At 42.6% G+C, this 26,977-nt stretch overlaps 1 protein-coding gene and 1 long non-coding RNA gene across 6 annotated transcripts in view, besides 4 other annotated features; one reads left to right on the forward strand and one right to left on the reverse strand.

The window, feature by feature from the left end:
- The window catches only part of DENND6A (DENN domain containing 6A), a 67,624-nt gene extending 49,363 nt beyond the window's left edge, over nucleotides 1-18,261 (reverse strand). For 4 of the 5 annotated variants that reach the window (XR_007095649.1, XR_245100.2, XM_006713019.4 and 1 more), the window contains exon 1: nucleotides 17,966-18,261. Coding sequence is in view for 3 of the 5 variants with exons in the window: in XM_006713019.4 (XP_006713082.1) it covers nucleotides 17,966-18,202 (237 nt within the window). In the remaining 2 variants the exon portion in view is untranslated. Of the gene's footprint in view, nucleotides 1-4,670; nucleotides 4,910-5,719; nucleotides 5,749-6,948; nucleotides 7,490-17,965 lie in introns of those variants that run through there. The other variant, XM_047447670.1, reaches the window with a different exon arrangement.
- Nucleotides 786-835: a silencer, noted in NCBI's record as "silent region_14481". NCBI's record gives its function as "represses an Ori minimal core promoter by ATAC-STARR-seq in GM12878 lymphoblastoid cells {active_cell/tissue: GM12878}" and the evidence as "EXISTENCE:reporter gene assay evidence [ECO:0000049][PMID:35858748]".
- Nucleotides 17,589-18,089: an enhancer, noted in NCBI's record as "H3K27ac hESC enhancer chr3:57678132-57678632 (GRCh37/hg19 assembly coordinates)". NCBI's record gives its function as "activates a minimal SCP1, AML or CMV promoter by ChIP-STARR-seq in naive H9 embryonic stem cells {active_cell/tissue: H9 hESC(naive)}" and the evidence as "EXISTENCE:reporter gene assay evidence [ECO:0000049][PMID:30033119]".
- Nucleotides 17,811-18,050: a silencer, noted in NCBI's record as "silent region_14482". NCBI's record gives its function as "represses an Ori minimal core promoter by ATAC-STARR-seq in GM12878 lymphoblastoid cells {active_cell/tissue: GM12878}" and the evidence as "EXISTENCE:reporter gene assay evidence [ECO:0000049][PMID:35858748]".
- Nucleotides 18,161-18,260: a silencer, noted in NCBI's record as "silent region_14483". NCBI's record gives its function as "represses an Ori minimal core promoter by ATAC-STARR-seq in GM12878 lymphoblastoid cells {active_cell/tissue: GM12878}" and the evidence as "EXISTENCE:reporter gene assay evidence [ECO:0000049][PMID:35858748]".
- Nucleotides 18,389-21,835, forward strand: DENND6A-DT (DENND6A divergent transcript). Its single transcript, NR_135550.1, has 2 exons — nucleotides 18,389-18,526; nucleotides 19,000-21,835. It is a non-coding gene; the product is annotated as a DENND6A divergent transcript (long non-coding RNA).
- Nucleotides 21,836-26,977: the final 5,142 nt, after the last annotated feature.

The raw sequence follows: 26,977 nt of genomic DNA on the forward strand, positions 1-26,977 counted from the left end.
TATGGGAACACGGATGAAGCTGGAGGCTATTATCCTCAGCTAACTAATGCAGGAACTGAAAACCAAATACTGCATATTGTCTCTTATAAGTGGGAGGAGCTAAATAATGAGACCTTATGAACACAAAGAAGGAAACAACAGACACTGGGGTCTACTTGATGGTGGAGGGTGGGAGGAGGGAGAGGAGCAGAAAAGATAACTATTGGATACTGGGCTTAACACCTGGGTGATGAAATAATCTGCACAACAAACCCCTGAGACATGAGTTTATGTACATGTTTATGTAACAAACTTTTACATGTACCCAGAAACCTAAAATAAAAGTTAAAAGACAAAAAGCAAAACAAAAAGAAACAGTTCACAAACTTTAATAATGAAACAAGGGGGAAAGCTGGGAGCATTGAGTAATATTTACATTAGGTAAAAAAAGTTTTTGGTTTAAAGTTATCTCCAAAAGATTGGTAAAATCATTAAGTTATCAAGAACCATTTACCAATTGACTAATAACTCAAAGCTTACTGAGTCTTCTTTGGTAGCCTATAATCTAAAGAGAAAATAATCTTCAGCTGGCGTCTACTTCAGTAAATAATATTTTTCAACTGACTCCAACAAGTAATACACATCCTAACTACTTAGTTATTAGTAAAAGAAAAATGAAACGGAAAAATAATTATCTGCAGTTTAAGAAACCTCAAGGACCATCTCCACAATAAAGGCTATCCTAATTCTCTCTGGTCCCTTTAAAGGATCATTATGCATTTTCTTAGGTTATTTTAGTGTCTGCAGTGACCACAACCACCTTCTGATGAAACTCCTGCCCCACAGCCCCTGCAAGGAAGCAGGGCTAGGTCAGATCAGCTACCAGCAGAACAAACAATAGTAAACAACACACCCAAGGGCACACACTCTACAAGCCAACCAAACTCTATGTTATAACCAACCTGACCTCCTTAGGAGATGAACATAACATTTATCAAAGTGACAAAAATTACACACTCAGTGCTTGACTAGTCAACTGGCACTATACATTAGTCACAGAAGGCATCTTGTGTGCATTGGTAGTAATGCCTCTCTCATGCCACCAATTATCAAAGGCCAGTGATTTTCAAACATTATACCGGAGGTGCCTCAAAGGCCACCTGGTGGTACTAATGGCTGTCTTAGGAGAGTCAGGCCCCCCAAGCACATAAAGGCTGCAGCGAGCCAAGATCATGCCACTCCACTCCAGCCTGGATGACAGGGTGAGACCCTCTCTCTCTCAAAAAAAAAAGTCCTTCTTGGCCAGGTGCCATGGCTCATACCTGTAATCCTAACACTTTGGGAGGCCGGGGTGGGCAGGTCACTTGAGGCCAGGAGTTCGAGATCAGCCTGGCTAACATGGCGAAACCATGTCTCTACTAAAAATACAAAAAACTTAGCCAGGCATGGTGGTGGGCACTTGTAATCCCAGCTACTCAGGAGGCTGAGGCACAAGAATGGCTTGAACCTGGGAGGCAGAGGTTGCAGTGAGCTGAAATCACACCACTGCCCTTCAGCCTGGCAAAAGAATAAGATTATTTAAAAAAAAAAAAAAAAAAAAAAAGGCCTTCTCTTGCTGTTACAAGATGTCTTAGAAAAAATCCTTCTCTAATCTTTTAACAGTTAAATCCTTGTTTCCAAAAGCATGGCACACATGCCAGTGGAGATGTTATATGGCGCAGAGCCCTTCTAAAATTTTAATAGTTATATGTACTGTACTTAATTTAATGTGTATTAGGAAAAAAGACCTAACACTCAAAATCAATATATCATGGATACAAATGCTTAAGATATAGCTAAGTAAAAAAAAGGGGCAGAGGGATGTGAAGAATCCAGTTAAAGAAAAATATTAATAGTACAAATAATATGACAAGGAATGACTGAAACTTAGAAAACAATGAATTAAGTTTTTGTAGATTTTCTTCTAACATTTTATGGGCTTTTTCTTTAATTCTGAGCTATAGCTCAAACTGCTATTTTTTATTTTTATTTATTTTTTATTTTTTTGAGACAGAGTCTCGCTCTGTCACCCAGGCTGGAGTGCAATGGTGTGATCTCAGCTCACTGCAACCTCCACCTCCCAGGTTCAAGCGATTCTTGTGCCTCAGCCACCCAAGTAGCTGGGATTACAGGTGTGCACCACCATGCCCAGTTAATTCTTGTATTTTTAGTAGAGACAGGGTTTCACCATGTTGGCTAGGCTGGTCTTGAGTGCCTGACCTCAAGTGATCCACCCGCCTTGGCCTCCCAAAGTGTTAGAATTACAGGCATGAGCCACCGTGCCCAGCCTCAAACTGTTATTTTTTAAATCGTCAACTTTCCCAACACTATTTGCTCCAAACAAACAAAAAACTATTTCCCATTGATATGTAAGGCTCTAATGGTACCTTCTATTCCTATGGCCTATCATTTTAATCAATTCTCTACAGTGAAAGACAGCAGGAAGATGGACAGAAACCAAGTCCTTACATTATTTCAACTATAAATTCAATTGTGCCTTGAGTCAGGCTTACCTGTGAACTTTGCAATAACATGAATCAATAAACTTTGTTTTCTTATGCCAGTTTGGGCTAACTTTGTTGTCCTTTTTTTTTTTTTTTTTTTTTTTTTGAGACAGAGTCTCCAGAGTCTCATTCTGTCACCAAGGCTAGAGTACAGTGGCACAACTGTGGCTCACCCCAGCCTCGACTTCCAGGGCTCAAGCAATCCTCTCACCTTAGCCTCCTCAGTAGCTGGGACTACAGACATGCACCACCACACCTGGCTAATTTTTAAATTTTCTGTAGATATGGAGTCTTGCCATGTTGCCCAGGCTGGTCTCAAACTCCTGGCCTCAAATGATCCTCCTGCCTCCCACCTCCCAAATTGCTGGGATTATAGGCCACTACATCCGGCCTTCCTGTCACTTTTAACAGAAAGAATCATGGTTGCTTTTTTTCCTTGATGGCAGAAAGCACTACTGTATCTTAATTCATTAGATCTCAACATTCTTCCTGGCTTTGTATCAGACTGCATTTATGGGAAGTTTGACTCTTTCCCCTATCAGCTGGGATTAATATAATCCTTCTCAGTTCCTAAATAGAAGCACTTGGTAAGGGTTAGTTATATCCCATTCTTTGTAAGTTGTTATATCATCTTTAATATCCAACCATCTAAATGCTGAACTACTCAGCCATTTTTGTCAAAATCACTAACTCATCACAATATCTCATTAAACCAGTCCAATACATCTTATTTAGCCATTCCTAAAGGAAATGATTCTTTTTTAAAAAAAAGAACTTTCTGTTATAATCCACTTAGACTAAATACCAAATTCTTTTGGCATTCATAGGATAATTTCTCCTGATACTTTTTCCAGGATAAATATAGATTTATAGAATATAGATGTTTAAATTTCAACAAAGATATCTCTACAGCTTATCAGAAATCAATAGGAGATTCTCCCAGCACATAAATGCCTTGATAAACAGCTACTATTTTCTTCTGAGAAACACGTTCTTCAAGACCCATAAAGAGTACCTCACACACTGAACTGCCCTCAGAGGGGGCATAAAATGGTGGTTGGTTTCTACAAAGAGAACAAAAATAGTTTAAGATAAGATTTTTTTTTCCAGGCAATTGGGGAGATAAGAAATACAGTTGGGGCTCAAATCCAGAGATATCTAGTCCAGTTAGATGGTGCTATGGACTGAATCCCCCAAAAATTCACGTTAAAGCTCTAACCTCCAATCATATTTAGAGACAGGGCCTTTGGGAGGTAATTAGGTCATGAGTGTAGAGCTCACATGATGGCACTTGTGCCCTTATAAGAGGAAACACAAGAGATCTCTCTCTCTTTCTCTCTACCATGTGAGGACATAGCAAGAACACAGCCATCTGCAAGCCAGGAAGAGGACCCTCACCAGGAACAAAATTGGTAAGCAACTTCATTTTAAACTTTCCCCAGCCTCCAGAACCAAGAGAAATAGATTTCTGTTATTTAAGACATGCAGGCCAGGTGTGATGGCTTTTGCCAGTAATGCCAGCACTTTGGGAGACCAAGGCAGGTAGATTACTTGAGGCCAGGAGTGACCAGTCTGGCCAACATGGCAAAACCCTGTCTCTGCTAAAATTACAAAAATTAGCTGGGCATGGTGGCACACACCTGTAATCACAGCTACTCAGGAAGCTGAGGCACAAGTATGGCTTGAATCCAGAAGGTGGAGGTTGCAGTGAGCCCAGATGGTGCTACCGCACTCCACCCTGGACGACAGAGTGAGACCCTGTCTCAAAACAAAAACAAAACAAAACAAAATGATACCCAGTCTTTTGGTATTTTGTTATAGTAGCCATAGCAGACTAATACAGATGGTTTGTGGGAAGACAAGGCAAATATCTGAAAACAGGATGCACTGGTATGGTTACCATATGCACACATCCTATTCTTTTATCTTTCTAGCTTTTAGGAAACACAGTTAACTAGATATTCCCACCTGCCCTCACAGAAGGCAACAGACAAAATATTAGCATTTTGCCTTCTTTCTTTTTCATTGTTGTTGTTACTTCTTATTCCACCATCCTAAGCCAAATCTTCAGCTTCTTCCTATCATCTCTTCTTCACTTCAATTTTTTCTTTAAAGCCCAAATTTTCTTTAAAGTTCACATTTACTCACCTTGACTTTGGGCAAAAATAAATGAATACAGCTCTGCATCTTCAAACTCTTAAGAGGCAGTGGGGAAGGATGGAAAGTACAGTACTGGTACCAAAACCATGTTTTGGTCCTAATTAGATGTGTCCTTGTGGGAAATCATTAGCCAGTCTATGCCTCAGTTTCTGCTTCCATAACATGAGGGTGTACCTTCCACATCAATGGTCCATTGTTGCTCACTGATGAAGTGGGGCAAGGTGAGCCTGAAGAAGTAAGGAGAGAGAAGACTATGTAGGGGATTGTGGGCTACATTAAAGAAGCTGCTGGAGAATTTTTAACCTTGAATGAGTCAAAAATACAGGCTGGGAAGGCGGGAGCTCAGCCACTACTGGTGAGGAACTATAGGAATTACAAATGCAACAGACAGCCTAACAGCAGCTCGGGAGGAAAAGCGAGATATAGAGATGGTACAGGGTGCTGAGCAGGATTATGGACAGAAATTTGTGAGAAACTAGAACTGTTAGAAGAGCAGCAGCAGCAGTGGGAACAATGGACTGTATGTTCTTTGAAGCACAAAAGTTAACTTCAGGTGGAGTAAGTTACTTTTATAACTCTTACCTAATCTCAAAATAAAGTTTAAAAAAATAACAGCTCTAATTCACAGCATATACAATAGTCAATTCAAAGTGGATCAAAGGCCTAAATGTAAGAGCTAAATCTATATAACTCTTGGAAGAAAACAGTAATACATCTTCACAACCTTGAATTAGGCAATGTTTTCTTAGACATGACACCAAAAGCACAAACAACAAAAGGAAACATAAATAAATTGGATATCATCAAAATTTAAAACCTTGCTTCAATAACAACAAAAACCCCAAGGTGATAGCGGTATTAGGAGGTGAAACCTTTGGGAGGCGATCAAGTCGTGAGGGCAGAGCCCTCATGATTGAGATTAATGCTCTTATCAAAGAGACCCGAGAGCTAGCTCTCCACCATGCAAAGACACTGCCAGAAGGTGCCATCTATGAATCAGAAAGAGTACCCTCACCAAACCCCATATCAGCCAGTACCTTGATCTTGGACTTGTGAGCCTCCAGAGCTATGAGAAATAAACAGATATTGTTTATAAGCTGCCCAGTTTGTGGTATTTTGTGAGAAGCCTGAACAGGCTAAGACACAATTAATATAACTAATAAGGGTCTAGTATATAAAATACATAAAGAACTCTTAAAATATAACAATAAAAAGACAAATAACCCAATTTTCAAATGGGCACAAATGTTAATAGATACTTCTCCAAAAAATAAAAATGAAAATGGCCAATAAGCACTGAAAAAACACTGTTTAGCATTAGTTATTAGGGAAATGCAAATAAAATTACAATAAGACATGGCTCATACCTACTAGGACAGCTGTAATCAAAAGGAGAGACAATAACAAGAGTTGATAAGGATGCAGAGAAATTAGAACCCTTAGAACCCTCATATATCAGTAGTGGAAAACAGTTATGGAAGTTTCTCAAGAAGTTACAACATAGAGTTACAGTATAGCCCTGCAATTTCAATGCTAGGTATATATCCAAGAAAAGTGAAAACACATGTTCACACAAAAACTCGTACACAAATTTTCATATTAGCATTATTCATAATAGCCAAAAAGTAAAAACAAGCCTGGACAACATAGTGAGACTCTGTCTCCTCAAAAAAGTTTAAAAATTAGCCAGGCCACGGTGGCTCACACCTGTAATCCCAGCACTTTGGGAGGCTAAGGCAGGCAGATCACGAGGTCAGGAGATCGACACCATCCTGGCTAACACAGTGAAACCCCGTCTCTACTAAAAACATAAAAATTAGCCAGGCGTGGTGGCGGGCACCTGTAGTCCCAGCTACTCGGGAGGCTAAGGCAGGAGAATGGCATGAACCCAGGAGGCAGAGCTTGCAGTGAGCCGAGATCACGCCACTGCACTCCAGCCTGGGTGACAGAGCAAGACTCTGCCTCAAAAAAAAAAATTAGGCAGGCATAGTGGCAGGCACTTGTAGTCCCAGCTACTCAGGAGGCTGAGGCAGGAGGGTTGCTTGAGCCCAGGAGGTCAATGCTGCAGTGAGCTATGATCATGCCATTGTGCTCCAGCCTAGGCAACAGAGCAAGACCCTGTTAAAAAAAAAAAAAAAAGAAAGAAAGAAAGAAAAAAGAAAGAAACAATCCAAATTTTCATTAAATAATGAATAAACAAAATGTGATATATCCATACAATGGTATATTATTCAACCATAAAAAGGAATAAAGTACATATACATACTATGACATGGATGAACGTATATGATTCCACTCCCATGAAAAGCATACAGACAGAAGCTTATTAGTGGCTGCTAGATGCCAGGGAAAAAGTGGAATGGGTATGTGGTTTCTTTTTGGGGTGAAGAAAATGTCCTGCAATTAGATAGAGGTGTTAGTTGCACATCCTGTGAAAACCTCAAAACCACTGAATTATACACTTTAGAAGTGTGAATTTTATATGTGAATACCTGAATTTTTAAAAATGGAAACATAGACACAATAATTCAAACCATAAAAAGGCATAAAATCATAGTCTCTCTCCCATTGAGCTTGAGGTTTTCTTCCTTCAATAACCATTGTTAAACCATTTCCTATGTATCTTTCAAAGAAAAATTATGTATGTACTTTTTCTAACATAAATTATATTCTGCGGGAAGCTGAAGCAGGAGAATCGCTTGAACCCGGCAGGCGGAGGTTTTGGTGAGCCAAGATTGCACCATTGCACTCCAGCCTGGGCAACAAGAGTGAGACTCCGTCTCAAAAAAAAAAAAAAAAAAAAAAAAAAAAATTATATTCTGTTCTGTTCTCACTGCTTTACACACTGCTTTTTTCCTTAAGATCTTGAAGATCATAGTATTTCAGTACATGATCTATTCATTAATTCTAAAGATGCTTTGAACTTTCCTGCTTCTTCCCTTGCTCATGCTTAAGAACTGATTCACCATTTATGCGCCTATCAAATTCCATCCAGCAGGGGAAATAAGTGATTTCTATTGCCTCTTTTTGTAATTTTTCCTCAATAAATATTGTGTATAATTTCTTAATTATATAAGCTGAAATTTTAAATTATGCAACCCTTAAGGTTCAAATCAATTTTCACCTTCCACCAGAAATTTTCACTTAGTCTCTGGACCACTGACTATATGGTTTTTTTTGTTTTGTTTTGTTTTTGAGATGGAGTCTGGCTTTGTCACCCAGGCTGGAGAGCAGTGGCATGATCTCAGCTCACTGCAACCTCCAACTCCCAAGTTCAAGCGATTCTGCTGCCTCAGCCACTCAAGTAACTGGGATTACAGGTGTGCAACATCCCGCCCGGCTAATTTTTTTGTATTTTCAGTAGAGACGGAGTTTCGCCATGTTGGCCAGGCTGGTCTCGGACTCCTGACCTCAAGTGATCCACCCACCTCAGCCTCCCAAAGTGCTGGGACTACAGGCATGAGCCAGCACACCTGGCCGACTATATGCTCTTACTTGTCTCTTCAGTTAAATTCTGGAGAGCAGGGATTCTCATGTCTTCATCTACTGATTAACATAATAGAATCCTTTGTGCATGTTAGGTACTTATTATGGCCTATGCAAATGGTCCCAGTGCTCCTATTATAATAGGTACCAACAAAAATTTAATGATGCTACCCTCATACTGATCCTGTATTACTTACAAAGGACGCTTAAGGTTAGGTAGGAATTCACTAAATGAGTAATACAGATAGAATTCAAATAAACTAGACCAAAAGAGTAATTATTTCATTATTTCAGAAAAACTCAATAAATAATTACAATTGCTAACTTTATCAAGTGTTTTCCTTGTGCCAGGCACTGTATTGTATCAATTAATCCTCACAATACACTAGAAATGAGAACTATTATCATCTCACTTCATCTGCCCATGGCTATAAACTATTATCAGTTAGAAACCCTACCTTCAGGAAATCCAACTTTATGTCATTGACATAGGTCACGCTGGTCTTTTGTCCAAACAGAAGCAAGTATCTACTGTGCATTCCACAGGACGGTAAAGCATTTTGCCAACTAAAGGATCACAAAAATGCTAAAAGCAGTTCATACAACTCAGAAAATAGCCCTGGGTACTATTATTACACTGAGTATTAGCATGTAAACAGGAACACTTTGAGAAATGAGGTAAACTATTACTACCAAGAATTTAAGAATTTTAGTTCAAGCTACCGCTAGCATTTCACATCTTCTTTGCTTCAGTTTCCCTAAATAGTAAACAACACAGTATAGTGGGGGGAAATTAGGCTTCAGAATCAAAAGGACCAGGGTTCAAATCCTGGCTTATTAAGCAAGTGATATGGGGCAAGTTACCTCTTTAAGTTCCAGTTCCCTTATTTAAAAAGTGTTTAGCTCATGCCTGTAATTTCAGCACTTTGGGAGGCCGCAGCGGGTGGATCACAAGGTCAGGAGTTCAAGACCAGTCTAGCCAAGATGGTGAAACCCCATCTCTACTAAAAATACAAAAATTAGCCCGGTGTGGTGGTGGGCACCTGTAATCCCAGCTACTCAGGAGGCTGAGGCAGAGAATTGCTTGAACCCAGAAGGTGGAGGTTGCAGCGAGCCAAGATTGTGCCACTGCACTCCAGCCTGGGTGACAGAGTGAGACTCCGTCTCAAAAAAAAAAAAAAAAAAAGAGTTTATGGGCCAGGCACGGTGGCCCATGCCTGTAATCCCAGCACCTTGGGAGGCCAAGGTGGGCAGATCACGAGGTCAGGAGTTTGAGACCGGCCTGACCAACATGGTGAAACCCCGTCGTCTCTACTAAAAATACAAAAATTAGCTGGGTGCGGTGGCACGTGCCTGTAATCCCAGCTACTTAGGAGGCTGAGGCAGGAGAATCGCTGGAACTTGGGAATCAGAGGTTGCGGTGAGCTGAGATCGTGCCACTGCACTCTAGCCTGGGTGACAAAGCGAGACTCTGTTTCAAGAAAAGAGTCTAAAGCCAGGCATGGTGGCTCATGCCTATAATCCCAGCACTTTGGAAGGCTAAGGCAGGTGGACTGTGGGAGGCTGAGGCAGGCAGATCACTTGAGGCCAGGAGTTCAAGACCAGTCTGGGCAACACAGCAAAACCCTGTTTCTACAAAAAAACAAAAAAGTAGCCAGGCATGTTGGTACACACCTGTAGTCCAGCTACTTGACAGGCTGAGGTGAGAGAATTGCTTGAGCCTGGGAGGTCCAGGCTGCAGTGCACTGTAGCCTGGTGACACAGCATGACCCTGTCTCAAATAAATAAATAAAGTCCAAATATTACTTAATAATTAGTGACGGAAAGGAATAAATGAGGCTGGGTACAATGGCTCATGCCTGGGATCTCAACACTTTGGGAGGTGGAGGCAGGAGGTTCCCTTGAGTCCAGGAGTTCAAGATCACACTGGGCAACACAAAAATAAAACAATTTAATCAGGCATGGTGGCACACACCTGGAGTGCAATGGCACAGTCTCGGCTCACTGCAACCTCCGCCTCCCTGGTTCAAGTGATCCTCCTGCCTCAGCCTCCAGAGTAGCTGGGATTACAGGTATGCGCCACCATGCCTGGCTAATTTTTTTTTTTTTTTGTATTTTTAGTAGAGATGGGTTTCACCACGTTGGCCAAGCTAGTCTCGAACTCCTGACCTCAGCAGATCTGCCTGCCTCTGCCTCCCAAAGTGCTGGGATTACAGGCGTGAGCCACCACGTCCAGCCTAGAATTCTTGTTTATATGAGTTATATCTATCAACATTCACCACTGTAGAAACTAAAAGTATCATTAAAAAAAATTGTTTATTTATTTTAAAATAATAACCTATTACTCATTAACATATTCAATTTTTATGAAAAGTAACTATATTCAGGTTGAGTATTCCTTATCCAAAATGCTTGGTGGGATCAGAAGTGTTTTGGATCTCAGATCTTTTCAGATTCTAGAATATTTGAATTATACTTACTCAGTTGGACATCCCAAATCCAAAAACCTGAAATCCAAAATGCTCCAATGAGCATTTCCTTTAAAAAGCATCATGTCAGTACTCAGAAAGTTTCAGGTTTTGGAGCGTCTCAGATTTTGAATGTTTAGATTAGGAACACACAACCTGTATTCCTAAACAAAACAAAAACCTTACTAAGATGGCATTGTTTACATGTTTGCAAATATCTTTAATGTCTGATTTAACAGAAATAACTAGATTCTCATATCTGCTTCAGCATTCATTCTTTTTTTTTAAAAAAAAATTTGTTTTTCTTTAATGTTTGCTCTTGGCAGAATCATTCTATGTTCATTCTATTGCAATATGTTGTTCTGGTTGAAGAACATGAAGAAAAGCCATACATAGTTTGAAAACATCCTATAAATCCCCTGAAACGGTCTCAGAGATGCCCAGAAGTCCTCAGACCACATTTTGACAACAGCTGGTTTACAAGAAAAACAGAAAAGTTTATATAAAGAGAAAATTAAAAAACATACTCCAAACATGCCTACACATAATGATCCTCTGGAACTGATTCTGATTAAGCAGATGGGTGAGCCCCAGAATCCTCATATGTAACAAATGCCCCAGATGATTCTTATGATAAGAAGAACAAAATAAATAGAATCCCAATAATACAAAAATAGCCTAAATTTACCAAGATATAAATGTTTAGCCTCATTTTCAATAAGCATTAACAGATATTTCCATATCCCAGGTAAAACAGAACATAATCCTTTATTTCAAAGTTACATAATGGTGTAGAATTTTCAGGCACATATACCCTTGGCTCTCAAACAGCTCAAAGTTACTAAAGTTTATATCATAAAACCCAAGCTTAGAAATCTTTCAAAATAAATCTTTGATTACATAAGATTATAACTGCTCTCAGGTAAGGCAGTAAATGCTTGTTGCCTTCCAATACCATTCTTCCTTCTCCTTTTATTAATATAGGCATACCTTGTTTTATTGTGCATCATTTTATTGTGCTTTGCAGTTACCAGTTTCTACAAATTACAGGTTTGTGGCAAGCCTACATTAAGCAAGTCTATCAGCATCATTTTTCCAACAATGTGTTCACTTTGTGTCTCTGTGTTACACTTTGGTAATTCTCACAATATTTCAAACTTTTTTGTTACTATTGTATCTGTTACAGTGGTCTGTGATAAGTTATCTTTGATGTTACTATTGTAATTGTTTGGGGGCACCACAAACCATGCCCATATAAGATGGCAAATTTAATCAATAAATACATGTGTTCTGACAGCTCCACTGACGAGCCATTACCCCATCTCTCTCCCTCTCCTCAGGCCTCCCTATTCCGTAAGACACAACAATATTTGCAACTGGGGCAATGAATAACTCTATAATGGCCTCTAAGTGTTCAAGTAAAAGGAAGAGTCACACATCTCTCACTTTAAATCAAAAGCTAGAAATGATTTAAGTTTAATGAGGAAAGCATGTCAAAAGCTGAGACAGGCCAAAAGCTAGGCCTCTTGGACCAAACAGCCAACTTGTGAATGCAAAGGAAAAGTTCTTTTTTTCTTTCTTTTTTTCTATGCAACAGGGTCTCACCACGTTGCCCAGTCTGGTCTTGAACTCCTGGGCTCAAGGAATCCTCCTGCCTCAGCCTCCCAAAGCGCTGAGAATACAGGCCTGAGACACCACACCCAGCCAAAGGAAAAGTTCTTGAAGGAAATTAAAAATGCTACTCCAGTGAACACATCAATGATAAGAAAGTGAAACAGCCTTACTGCTAATGTGGAGAAAGTCTGAGTGGTCTGGATAGAAGAGCAAACCAGCTAGAACATTCCCTAAGCCAAAGCCTAATTCAGAGCAAGAGCGCAACTCTTTTCAATTCTGTTACGGCTGAGAGAGGTGATGAATCCGCAGAAGAAAAGTTGGAAGCTAGCAGGAGTTGGTTCATGAGGTTTAAGGAAAGAAGCTGTCTCCATAACATAAAAGTGCAAGGTGAAGCAGCAAGGACTGATAGAGAGCTGCAGCAAGTTATCCAGAAAATCTAAGAGAAAAGATGAAGGTGGCTACACTAAATAACGGATTTTCATTGTAGATGAAATAGCCTTCTGTTGGAAGACTATGCCCTCTAAGACTTTCATAGCTAGAGAAAAGTCAATACCTGGCTTCAAAGTTTCAAAGGATAGGATGACAGCCAGGTGTGGTCGCTCATGTCTGTAATCCTAGCACTTTAGGAGGTGGAGGCACGAGGATCCCTTGAAGCCAGGAATTTGAGACCAGCCTGGACAACAAAGCAAGACCCCATCTCTACAAAAAATTTAAAAATTAGCCTGGTGCATAAGCATATGCCTGCAGTATCAGCTACCAGGGAAGCTGAGACAGAAGGATCACCTGAGCCGAGAGTTCAAGGCTTCAGTAAGCCATGATTGCATCACTGCACTCCAGCCTGGGTGACAGAGTAAGACCACCTCAAAAAAAAAAAAAAGAAAAGAACATCTGCTTTGTAAAATTATATTTATGAAGAGTTTTTTGTTTTTTGGGTTTGTTTTTTTTTTGAGACAAAGTCTTACTCTGTTGCCCAGGCAGGACTACAGTGGTATGATCTCAGTTCACTGCAACCTCTGCCTCCCGGGTTCAAGCGATTCTCCTGCCTCAGCCTCCCGAGTAGCTGGGATTACAGGAATGTGCCACCAAGCTGCCTATTTTTGTATTTTTTTATTAGAGATGGGGTTTTACCATGTTGGCTACGGCGGTCTCGAACTCCTGACCTCAAGTGATCCACGCGCCTCAGCCTCCCAAAGTGCTTGGATTACAGGCATGAGCCACCACACTCGGCTTATTAAGAGTCTAATCATCTTACAAACTGTTTATGAGAATATTTATGAATAAAAGCAGACTCACAGTAGACATGTTTAGGAGACTGCTGCCCAGACTATGCTTTGGAAGTGTCCCTCCTATTGCAGGGGTGAGCCTAAGTGACTGCTACTGCTAGCGAAACCTTGTCTCCTAACCACAAGTGAACAAAATGGGACACCTGTCCCATGCTGAGCCAATCAGATACTCCAATATTAAGCTTCAGCCTCATTCCAGAAAAAGAGTTTGGCTAAAATTAGTACCATGGAAACCCAAAGTCAAGCAGAGTAACGGGGGAGCAGAAACTGAGGCCACTGCAGCACAAACCAGCTTCAGCATGGAGAAAAGAACAGACATGCAAAGACCAAAGACAAAAAAAAACACACAGCTCCAGAGACAAAGGCCTGGGGCTTTCCAAATCCCACAGGTTCATCCTTGCTTCCCACACACTTGGATTCCAAAAGACTGCCTGGAATCCTTACAATCACTGTCCCTTTACTTAAGTTTATTTGAGGTTTCTGTTCCTAACAATCAAGTTAATCCTTGACAGATACAAAATTATATAAAGAAAAAAAGTATTAACAAAAATGCCGAATATTAATAGCAGTTGCCTCTTAGTAGAATTAAGAGTGATATTTTCTAGTGTTTATAATTTTTCTTTTTTTTTGAGACAAAGTCTTGCTGTGTCGCCAGGCTGGAGTGCAGTGGCCCGATCTTACTGCAACCTCCACCTCCCAGGTTCAAGCGATTCTCCTGCCTCACCCTCCCGAGTAGCTGGGACTACAGGTGTATGCCACTGCGCCCAGCTGATTTTTGTATTTTTAGTAGAGACGGGGTTTCACCGTGTTGGCCAGGGTGGTCTCGATCTCTTGACCTCGTGATCTGCCCGCCTCGGCCTCCCAAAGTGCTGGAATTACAGGCATGAGCCGCCATGCCCGGCCTAGTGTTTATGATTTCTTTACTTGCCAAGTTTTCAGCAATGAGTATGTTATTATTCACTCAGAAAAAAAAAAAAAACTTGAATAAATAAGGTAATTCTGTATTCGGATAATTAAGGCTTTACTAAATAATTGGTAATTTCAAAGCTAAAAGTGAGGTACAGTATATCAAACCCAGGAGGTTTCAAACCTTGTTCCAGAGGACACTTTGATTCTGTGGTAATGCCTCCAGAGCCACTTCAGGGGAAAAGAAGCTCAGCACACCCCCTGCAGTCAACACCTTGTTCAGTTTCTTCCTAGCTCAAAGACCTCCTTAACCCCCTTCACTTAGGACAGGGCCTTAAAAGACATTTTATGCAAGGTGAACCACTCCCCCTTCTACTCAGGGCTTTAGCCAATTGTATCAGAGTAGGAACCTGCCCCAAACCAGGCCAGATTATCTTCCTCTGGCTTTGGAAGTGAGTTAAAGATTCACTCTTTTTCACTGAAGTGGCTAAAAACGTTAGCTTCTCACCTTAAAGATCAGAGAAGGGCTGGGCATGGTGGCTCAACACCTATAATCCCAGCACTTTGGAAGACAGAGGCAGCAGGACAGTTTGAGGCTACAAGTTTGAGACCAGCCTGGGCAACATAGCAAGACCCTGTCCCCACAAAAAAAATTAAAAATAGCCGGGTGTAGTGGTGCATGTCTGTATTCATAGATACTCAGGAGGATCCCTCGAGTTTAGGAGTTCGAGGTTGTAGTGAGTTATGATCATGCCACTGCACTCCAATCTGAGGCAGACCATGTCTCTAAGGAAAAAAAAAAAAAAAAGTCAGGTGCGGTGGCTCACGCCTGTAATCCCAGCACTTTGGGAGGCTGAGGCAGGTGTATCACTTGAGGTCAGGAGTTCAAGACCAGCCTGGCCAACATGGTGAAACCCTGTCTCTACTAAAAAAAACAAAAAAACAAAAAAAACAAAATTAGCTGGGCAGGCCAGGCGCGGTGGCTCATGCCTGTAATCCCAGCACTTTGGGAGGCTGAGGTGGGCAGATCACACTGTCAGGAGATCGAGACCATCCTGGCTAACACGGTGAAACCCCGTCTCTATTAAAAATACAAAAAATTAGCCGGGCGTGGTGCGGGTGCCTGTAGTCCCAGCAACTTGGGAGGCTGAGGCAGGAGAATGGCGTGAACCTGGGAGGCGGAGCTTGCAGGGAGGCGGAGCTTGCAGGGAGACGAGATTGCCCCACTGCACTCCAGCCTGGGCAACAGAGCAAGACTCTCTCTCTCAAAAAACAAAAATTAGCTGGGCATGGTGACATGCACCTGTAGTCCCAGCTACTTGGCAGGCTGAGGCAGGAGAATCACTTGAACCTGGGAGGTGGAGGTTGCAGTGAGCCGAAATTACACCACTGCACTCCAGCCTGGCTGACAAAGTTAGACTCTGTCTTTAAAAAAAAAAAAAAAAATCAGAGAAGGGGAAGAAGGCAGTTTGCAGGGAACATGAAATATAAACAAGATCTGCACACAAAAAAAGAGCAAAACCAAGAGGTTTCCCTGGTTCTGAACTCTAGCCATTTTCTGAAGCCCTACTAGGTTTATGTCTTAAATAGCTGGAAACCACATATATGGAACCACATACATGATTTCATCTTACTCAGCCTTTTCCTAGTGGAAAATTCACAATGTTCATATTTTTAAAAGATCCAGGAAGCAAAAGGTTAAGAACTCCTGACCTAGAAAAAACTCTATACAGTGGCATACACTATGGAAAATGAAATTCAAAATAAGTCCTTTAATAATTCACATTTTTGCAGCATCTCAAATATATTTTCTGTTTATTTGGTCAAAAAACATATTCACGTTATAAAGAATGTCCCAAATAATGAGAATCCAAAAGAATCTCCTTTAGCTATTTAAAAACACAATCAACTACAACAACCCATTCTTATGCTTTCTGGTTAAATTGTATCTTGCTGTACATATAACTTCAGGTTAACATGGCAAGGTGAATAATAAATGGCTTATAAATCTCTTACTCAAAATCTTTGGGAACTGTTTTTCTTACTTTAATAAGATAAAGAATTGCTCACATATTCACCTATTCTATCAAAAGTATTTATAGAATGCCACTAGGTGCCAGGCACTGCATTTGGCCTTATCAGCTACTATGATTAATTCTTGGTTCTCCTCTAAATTATTGCCTCAATCTACAAATACAGATTAGAGCACATCCTATTTGTATGCTCCACAACTAACATAATGCCTGGTTCTTAGTGGAAACTTAATGTCGCTGAACTGTGTTATAATAAAACATCCAGAAGGCAGGCCGAATACGAAAGCAGTAGCTTCGCATTAAGAAAACTACCCCTAGCCAATTTTCTTAGTCAACCAGGCCACTACAGTATTAATGAAATCGAAATCTGTCACCAATACCAAAAAAAAAAAAAAAAAAAAAAAACCAAAACCAAAACGTCTAAACAAACGCCCTTCTGATAACAATTTCCTTGGACACATGAAAGCAAGCAATTCCTTATGCTAAAAAGACCTTCAACAACGTCAAGAATAGATGTTTCTAAAGCCTTTCGGTAAGGGGCCATACATAAGAATGGAAAAGTTGACTGATTGACAAGCAAATGATGTTCCCTATATTCATCTTGACAGTAGTTTCACACCAACTGTTCCAGAGGCAACATAAAAAAAAATAACAGAAATGAGGCCGGGCACGGTGGCTCACGCATGTAATCCCACCACTTTGGAAGGCCTAGGCGGGCAGACCACCTGAGTCGGGAGTTCGAGACCAGCCTTACCAAAATGGAGAAACCCCGTCTCTATTAAAAATACAAAATTAGCCGGGCATGGTCGCATGCCTGTAACCCCAGCTACTCGGGAGGCTGAGGCAGGAGAATTGCCTGAATCCGGGAGGCAGAGGTTGCGGTGAGCCAAGATCGCGCCATTGCACTCCAGCCTGAGCAACAAGAGCAAAAACTCCGTCTCAAAAAAAAAAAAAAAAAAAAACAGAAATGAGGCACAAAAGGAGGAAAGGGAGAAAATGCGTGCTGAGATAAGCATTTCGACTCAGGCTGAGGGAAACGCTCAAACAGTTACTGCAAATGACTAAAACAATCTGAGCCTTAAAACTTGGTTGTGCAAGTTCGGCTACTAGAGTTCATCATCTGTTATGGGCATTGTTCTTGAAAAAGTACCAAACAAACATCCTGCCTGCGGGCTTCTCCGGGTGGGTGCTACTAACCCTTTTAGTTAATTCTGTGACTCTGCGTTTAAAAGAAATAAAGAAAGAACAGGATGAACATCAACAAGTATTTAGGAGGGGCCTAGAGAGAACTTTTCACCCCTAGCCGCAGCCCAAGATCCTCCCACGGGAAGTGCCGTAGGACCGCAGCCCGAAAGAGCGCGGGAGGGGAGACTGGCCACGCCCGGATGCGCCGCGGACAGGGTCCTGGCCGGTCAGCCCGCGGGCCGCTGGCTTTGCTGCAGCCGCCCCGGCGCAGGGGAGGAGCGCCGAGAAAGGGCGGGGCCGGGCCTCACCTCCACGGCCTGGCCCAGCTCCAGGTCGAAGCCCACCACACACACGCAGTGCAGCCAGGCGGAGAAGCTGTCCCAGCGCAGCAGGCCCCGGCCACGGCCATCGTCCTCTTCATCGTCCTCTGGCGCGCCTCCCGCCGCCACAAGGGCCGGCGCCTCGCGGCCCTCGGCCCCTGCCACCGCTTCGTCCAACGGCCTTCGAGAGCCGGGCCCCAAGCCCGCAGGGCCCCTCAAAGCCATCGGCCGCCCCCTGACCGTTCGCGCCGCCTCCACAGCGGACCGCGCCGCAGAGCGCGCTTGCCTCCGCGCAGGCGCAGACGCTGCTGTCGCAGCCGCTGGGGACCCACTCAGTCCGGGCGGGGCTGCGGGTCACGTGACCCTGGGAGCGGACGTGGGGACGTCACGCTGCCGCTTGTCTCGGATTGTGAAGCCGGTCCTGGCTTCCTTGTCTAAAAGCTCTTTGGGACTGAAATGGCTGTTTATGAATCCTTGTCAACCTCGTTCGCAGTCAACGACCAGGGAATAAATTATTCGTGGAATGACACAGTTCATAATTATTATAAGGTATTATTAAATTATGAAAGCGTAGGCCGGGCGCGGTGGTTCACACCTGTAATCACAGCATTTTGGGAGGCCGATGCGGGCGGATCATCAGGTCAGGAGTTCGAGACCAGCCTGACCAACATGGTGAAACCCCGTCTCTACTAAAAATACGAAAAAATTAGCCAGGCGTGGTGGAGCGCGCCTGTGATCCCAGCTACTCAGGAGGCTGAGGCAGGAGAATCGCTTGAACCCAGGAGGTTACAGTTAGCTGAGATTGCGCCACTGTATTCTGTCTACCCTGGGCGACAGAGCGAGATTCCGTCTCAAAAAAATAAAAATAAAATATATGAACGCATAATGGTGACGGTGGCTAACATTGAACGCTTACTTTGTGCCAGTTGATATGCCAAGTACAAGTGCGAATACTTACAAATATTACCTTATTGAATCTTCACATAATCGCAAATAAGTAGACTATTTATTTCTTTTTACAGATAAGGAAATGGAGGTCCTGGAGGTTACATGACTAGCCCAACAAGTATGACAACTCCGATATCGGCTTGCGGTTCACTCATTCAGTTTGCTGATTCAGAGATCTGTGCATTCACTCACCTGTTCCTTCTCCAGCAAGGCCTCCCCACCCTACCACCTCCTCCTTTCTTAGTTTGGCTGTCTGTGACTCACTCAACACACATCCCCAGACCTTTCTGGAACTCCAGGTTGGGCAGATTGGCCTCCACAGCAACCTGTGGATCTCTGAACACTGGGGCAAGGGCCTGGTCTCAAGCAGCTTCGTATTCTGAGATCAGTTTTTACTGAGTATTGGACCAGCCAGGATACTAACTAGTATTTATTCAGCACCTACTATGTTGAGTATAAATAGCATAGTAAAAGTAGGAAACACACAATAATACCTCAACAGAAAAATGAGTAAACCAGCGAGGTGTCACGCCTGTAGTCCCAGGTTCTTGGGAAGCTGAGGCCGGCTAAGTTCAAGGAGGATCGCTTGAGCAGGAGTTCCAGGCTGCAGCGCGCTATGATCGCGCCTGCGAACAGCCATTGCACTCCAGCCTGGGCAACAGAGCGCGACTGTGTCTCTAAAAAACAACGCAAAACAAAAAACACGGCAGAACTTAAGCATTTTGCTGCACTGCCCAGTGAAATCCATTCCATTTGACAAATACTGCCCTCTTAACATTCTTAGAATTTTTTTTTGGAGCAAGTGTTAGCGTCCCTGTTTTCAAGGAGGTGGTCAAGTATGCACAGACATCAGTAGTGACGTTTGCTGGAGACTTCCTTTAGACAAAAATGAACTTAGGGACAGCACTTAAGTTAGAGGCCAAGTCTTTGGCCAAAGTAGCCTGCCATCCTACTCCAGAGAACTGCTGTGGTTAAAAGAGGAAAAACTGTATTCTGCGATCAAGTAAGGCTCTAAACCCAGTATTAGGAAAGAACAGTAGCCTTTTGTATTAGAAAGAACACTGGCGTGGAAGTCAAAAGTTCTGGATTCTAGTGCCAGCTAGAATCTACCACGATCGTGGTAGGCAAGCTGCTCCAAAACCCAGTTTCTGGTAAATGAGAGTGATGATTACTAACTCACCTCACTGACTGTTGGGAAAAGCTAAGCTATCCTAATGTACACATTTTACCAGATGCTACTTCATTATTAATTATTAATGATCTCAAAACACCAGTTGTGGCCAAGCACAGTGGGTCACACCTGTAATCCCAGCACGTTGGGAGGCTGAGGCGGTAGAATCACGTGAGTCCAGGAGTTTGAGACCAGCCTGGGCAACATAGGGAGGCCCCGTCTCTTAAAAAAAAATTAAAAATTAGCTGGGCATGGTGGCACACACCTATAATTCCAGCTACTTGAGAGGCTGAGATAGGAGAATCACTGGAACCCAGAAGGTCAAGGCTGCAATGAGCCATCACTGTGCTACTCTACTCCAGCCTGGGCAACACAGCAAGACCCTGTGTCAAAAACCAGCACCAAAAAAGAACATAAGTTGTTCCACAGGGCTGGTTCTTCGACACATAGACACAAACTGCGATTCTGTGAAGTGTTGCTTTATAATATTGGGTTAAGGAGAAGGTCAAGGCTGCAGTGAGCCATCACTGTGCCACTCTACTCCAGCCTGGGCAACACAGCAAGACCCTGTGTCAAAAACCAGCACCAAAAAAGAACATAAGTTGTTCCACAGGGCTGGTTCTTCGACGCATAGACACAAACTGCGATTCTGTGAAGTGTTGCTTTATAATATTGGGTTAAGGATGATCTTGTCAAAATACAGTACCCTGAAAACAACATATTAGGAGAGCCAGAAGTTTCCAAAGAAAGAAAGCACACCAAAGCTCTAGAGAATTTTGAAAGTAAAAAACTTGTTTGGGGAGAAAAAAAACAAAAACAGAAAAAAGCATTACTTAAATCTTTATACACAGAAACAGAATAACCACTAGGGTAAACAAAGCAGCTATGGCTTTATTTCCCTCTACCTTCGTAACTTTGACATTCTGCCTTACAGTCTATTTTCACACAGTTTCTGTTGTTAATGGGAGCTGAGGAACAAGGTACTGACACCTTCTTATGGTTCATCAAAAGAACCTTTGACTCTGAAAGGATCTTGGATAGGATCATCTCTCCAAACTTCCTATTCATGGATCTTCTGACATTCAGTTAGCCAGCCTCTTTTCTAACACTCTCTATTAAAGTTAAGTCACTAGCCTGTGATCCCAGCACTTTGGGAGGCCAAGGCCGGTGGATCACCTGAGGTCAGGAGTTCCAGACCAGCCTGGCCATCATGGTGAAATCCTGTCTCTAGTGAAAATACAAAAATTAGCCAGGTGTGGTGGTGCACACCTGTAATCCCAGCTACTTGGGAGGCTGAGGTGGGAGGATCCTCTGATCTGGGGAGGCAGAGGTGACAGTGAGCTGAGATCACACCACTGCACTCCAGCCTGTGCGACAGAGGGAGACTCCGTCTCAATGAATAAATAAATAAATAGCCGGGCGTGGTGGCTCACGCCTGTAATCTCAGCACTTTGGGAGGCTGAGGCAGGTGGATCACTTGAGGTCAGGAGCTTGAAACCAGCCTGGCCAACGTGGTGAGACCCTGTCTCTACTAAAAATACAAAAAATTAGCCAGGTGTGTTGGTGTGCTCCCGTAATGCCAGCTACTTGGGAGGCTAAAGTGGGAGAATCACTTAAACCCGGGAGGTGAAGGATGCAGTGAGCCAAGATAGCACCACTGCACTTTAGCCTGGGCGACAAGAGCAAGACTCCATCTCAAAAATAATAAATAAATAAATAAATAAATAAATAAAGTTAAGTAACTACCTTTCAGAGCTACTATTTTCTGGGTGTTCATAAGGGCTAGAAAGTTCTTCCCTTTACAGAGACAAAATCAGCTACTTTGTAATACACACCCATTGGTCTAAGTTGTGCTTGCTGAGATTACACAGAAGAGTCCAACTCTTCTACATGATAACCCTGCGAACGTTTGAAAATAGTTATCCCACACCCACATGCCTTCTAGTTTTCAGGGTAACTACCCCACATCCTCCAACCGTTCCTCAAAAGATGTAGTTTCTAGGCCATTCATCATCCTGTTGCCCAACTTGGGCATACTCCAACTTGTCAACATCACTCTTACAGCCTGGGAGGAAATACCATCCTCCAGGTGTGATCTTAACATTGCAGAATGTACTCTGGGACTATTCCTTTCCTTGTCCCAGCCACCAGGCTTCTTTTAATGCCAGTTCATATCACATTTACTTGTTTTGGCAGCCAGGTCACATCACTGGCTCAGGTTGTATTTACTGTCAACTAAAGCCCTGGATCTCTTTTCATGTGAGGAGCACTTAAGTCAGGGTAGACTGTGTTAGCCAAGAGCATGACTAGATTCATGGCTCTGCTGCTCTTCTAATATTACCAAGAACATGGAACACAGGATTAAAAACATTCCAAACTTCTCTACTCACCCCTAACCAAAATCCTGGCAATTCAATAGTTTTAACAGAAGAAAGAAAAAATAAAAGGTTGAGCATCAGACAATGGTGTGAATTGTGAAATGCATTATCAGGTCTCTGGGCTTAGTTTTACCAAAAGGACCCACAGGGAGTCCAAATGTCCTAGATATTTACCTAGATGGGCAGCCAGGGGACTTCCCTCTTGCACTTAAGGTAAATGCTGCCAGGGCTGCTGGGACATAACTATACTTGCGGTGGTGAAAAAAATACATGGAAATATACACAGAGGCCCAATACCAATGTGTTATCAATAGAAAACTAAGTTTACTGCTGTACTTCTCTGGAAGACAAAAATGCTCAAATACAGATTTTGAAGGGAGGATCCAGCCAAAGAAAACTATAAAATGCACGATCAGGGCCAGACGCCATGGCTCATGCCTTTAATCCCAGCACTTTGGGAGGCCAAGGCAGGCGGATCACTTGAGGTCAGGAGTTCGAGACCAGCCTGGCCAACATGGTGAAACCCCATCTCTACTAAAAATATAAAAATTAGCTGGGCATAGTGGCATCCGCCTGAAATCCCAGCTGCTCAGGAGGCTGAGGCAGGAGAATCACTTGAACCTGGAAGGCAGAGGTTGCAGTAAGCCAAGATTTCACCACTATACTCCAGCCGGGGAAACAGAGCAAGATTTCATCTAAAAAAAATAAATAAATAAAATAAAAAATAAAATGCACTATGAAGTTTTCCCAGGTTGTGACAGCTTTAAAAAATGGTGGTTGGGTGTGGTGGTGGCTCAGACCTCTAATCCCAGCACTTTGGGAGGCCAAGGCAAGAGGATTCTTTAAAGCCAGAATTATGACAGCACACACCTGTAGTCCTAGCTACTCAGGAGGCTGAGGCTGGAGGATCACATGAGCCCAGGAGGTCAAAGCAGCAGTGAGCTGTGATTGCACCACTGCACAGCCTGGGCAACAGAGTGAGATGCTGTCCCCTCGACCGTTCCAAAAAAAAAAGAAAGAAAGAAAAAATAATGAAGAGCTGTTTTTTTGTTTTCGTTTTTACATTCTTATTATTGATACAATGCCTGGCATGTGGCAGGCACTCAGTAAATATTTAATGAATGAATGAATGCACTTTATTTTATTTTATTATTATTTTTTGAGACGGAGTCTCCCTCCGTCACCCAGGTTGGAGTGCAGTGGCACGATCTCGGCTCACTGCAAGCTCTGCCTCCCAGGTTCACGCCATTCTCCTGCCTCAGCCTCCTGAGTAGCTGGGACTACAGGCGCCTGCCACCACGCCTGGCTAATTTTTTTTATTTTTAGTAGAGACAGGGTTTCAACGTGTTATCCAGGATGGTCTCAATCTCCTGACCTCGTGATCTGCCCGCCTCGGCCTCCCAAAGTGCTGGGATTACGGGGTGAGCCACCGCGCCCGGCCATGAATGCACTTTAAAAAAGCATCTTGACTTTAGGAGGCCAAGGCAGGCGGGTCACAAGGTCAAGAGATCGAGACCATCATGGACAACATGGTGAAGCCCTGTCTCTACTAAAAATACAAAAATCAGCCAGGCGTGGTGGCACATGTCTGTAGTCCCAGCTACTTGGGAGGCTGAGGCAGCAGAATCACCTGAACCCAAGAGGCAGATGTTGCAGTGAGCCAAGATCACGCCACTGCACTCCGGCCTGGCGACAGAGCGAGACTCTGTCTCAAAAACAAAAAAAAAAAAAAACAAAACAAAAGCATCTTGAACTGCTCTTTCCTTATTTTAAAGAATTTTCCTTTTACTGTCACTTGTATGAATACATGAAAAGTTAACATAAAAATGTTTCTTAAGTGTAATGCACTCTTAGCTTAAGAAAGTAAAGATAACACTCCACTTATTTAAAGGTTACTTTTTGGCTAGGTGCAGTGGCTCACACCTGTAATCCCAATACTTTGGGAGGCCAAACTGTGGGAGGAGTTAGAGACCAGCCTGGGCAACATAGGGAGACTCCATCTCTACAAAAAAATTTAAAACATTAGCTGGGCATGGTAGCCAACACCTATAGCCCCAGCTACTTGGGAAGCTGAAGCAGGAGGATCTCTTGAGCCCTGGAGTTCAAGGCTGCAGTGAGCTATGATCACGCTACTGTACTACAGCCTGGGCAACAGAGCAAGATCCTGTCTCTATTAAAAAAAAATAAGTAAAATAAAAATAAAGGTTACTTTTCCAACTGTCTGATGCAGTTAGCACTAGGAAGTGGGTTTAATAGGCTCAATATAAGCCAAAATGCAAAACGGAGACTATAATCAAATGCATACTCTTCAATCAAAGAGATGTGAGGTCTTCACTCATAAGTTATTTTGTCTAGGTTTACACATAGTTCTGGCTGGTCCAAGTGCAGTGGTGTTTACAACTAATTGAAACTAATTGAACACTACCAATTAGAGATTTCTTCTTCTTTTTTTTTTTGAGACCAAGTCTTGCTCCGTCACCCAGGCTGGAGTGCAGTGGCGCAACCAATTAGAGATTTCTTTGTTCCTTTTCTACTCCCACTGCTTTGACTAGCCTTAAAAGTAATAATAAATTTACACATAATTTTAATAGATTTACTTGTCTGGTTTCCCAGACTAAGAAGCAAATAAGAAGAACAAAGAGGTTGCTTGAGGCAGAGCATGACAAGAGCAGAAAACAAAACACCATAGGTTAATAGAATAGAAGGAAAAGATAAAAAGGAGTCAGAAAACAAAACTTTAGATTATGCACAGTAAATTAGTAGTCTTTCCTTATAAGGCATAGAAGTGCCAGGAAATAGGCCAGGCGCAGTGGTTCACACCTGTAATCCCAGCACTTTGGGACGCTGAGGCAGGTGGATCACCTGAGGTTGGCAGTTCGAGACCAGCCTAACCAACATGGAGGAACCCCGTCTCTACTAAAAATACAAAATTAGCCAGCCGTGGTGGCACATGCCTGTAATTCCAGATACTCAAGAGGCTGAAGCAGGAGAATTGCTTGAACCCAGGGAGCTGAGGTTGCAGTGAGCCGAGATCATGCCATTGCACTCCAGCCTGGGCAACAAGAGCGAAACTCTGTCTTAATAATAATAATAATAATAACAATAATACATTAATTCCTTTGAACTGGAGCTGCAAGGTAAAAGAAAGAATAAAAATATAAAAATATTTTTAAAATTCTTAAGTTTCAAATTATGTACCATTCTGAGTAGCATAATGAAATCCCAGGGTGGTCCATCTTGCCCAGGAAGTGAATCATCCCTTTGTCCACGGTATCCATGTTGTATATGTCCCCAACATTTTTCCACAGACCAGAATGGGGGGATGGTTTTCATATGATTCAAGTGCATTACATTTATTGTGCACTTTCTTTCTATTATTATTGCATTGTAACATATAATGAAATAATTATACAACTCACCATAATGTAGAATCAGCAAGAGCCCTGAGCTTGTTTTCCTGCAACTAGACGGTCCCATCTGGGGGTGATGGAAGACAGGGACAGATATCAGGCATTAGATTCTCCTAAGGAGCAGGTAGCCTAGATCCCTTGCATGCGCAGTTCACGATAGGGCTCGCATTCCTATGAGAATCTATCTAATGCCACTGCTGATCTGACAGGAGGCAGAACCCATGCGGTAATGCCAGCAATGGGGAGCGGCTGTAAATACAGATGAAGTTCACTCACTGGCCCGCCGCTCACCTCCTGCTGTGTGGCCCGGTTCCTAAGAGGCCATGGAGTTCAGTACCAGTCCCTTGCCTGGGGGACTGGGGACCCCTGTTATATGCAACTCTACTGTCAGTCACTTAGTAGTTGTCTGCATTATCAGATCAACTGTTAACAGTATCGCAGTGCTTGTATTCAAGTGACCCTTATTTTACTTAAAAATGAATGGCCTCAAAGTGCAAGAGCAGTGATGCTGGCAATTAGGATATACCAAAGAGAAACCATAAAGTGTTTCTTTTAAGTGAAAAGGTAGACGTTCTTTTTTTTTTTTTTTGAGACAGGGTCTTGCCAGGCTGGAGTGCAGTGGCGCTATCATGGCTCACTGCAGCCTCCCAGGTTCAAGCGATCCTCCCAGCTCAGCCTACCAAGTATCTGAGACTACAAGCATAGGCCACCACACCCACTTAATGCTTGTATTTTTTTTGTAGAGATGAGGTCTCCCCATGTTGCCCCGACTGGTCTCAAACTCCTAGCCTCAAGTAATCTTCCTGCCTTGGCCTCCCAAACTGGTGGGTTTACAGGTGTGAGCCACGGTGCCTGGCCAAAAGTTCTTGACTTAATAAGCAAAGAAAAAACTCATATGCTGAGGTTGTTAAGATCTACAGTAAGAACAAATCTATCTGTGAAATTGTGAACAGTATTGTTATACTTGTTACATTTGTTATCAATTATTAATCTATTACTGTGCCTAATTTATAAGCTAAACTTTATCATTATGATGTTTTATATATAGGGAAAAACTTAGTGTATATATGGTTTGGTACTATCTGCAGCTTTA

This window comes from Homo sapiens, chromosome 3 (assembly GCF_000001405.40).
Source record: "Homo sapiens chromosome 3, GRCh38.p14 Primary Assembly".
Taxonomy (NCBI): Eukaryota; Metazoa; Chordata; class Mammalia; order Primates; family Hominidae; genus Homo; species Homo sapiens.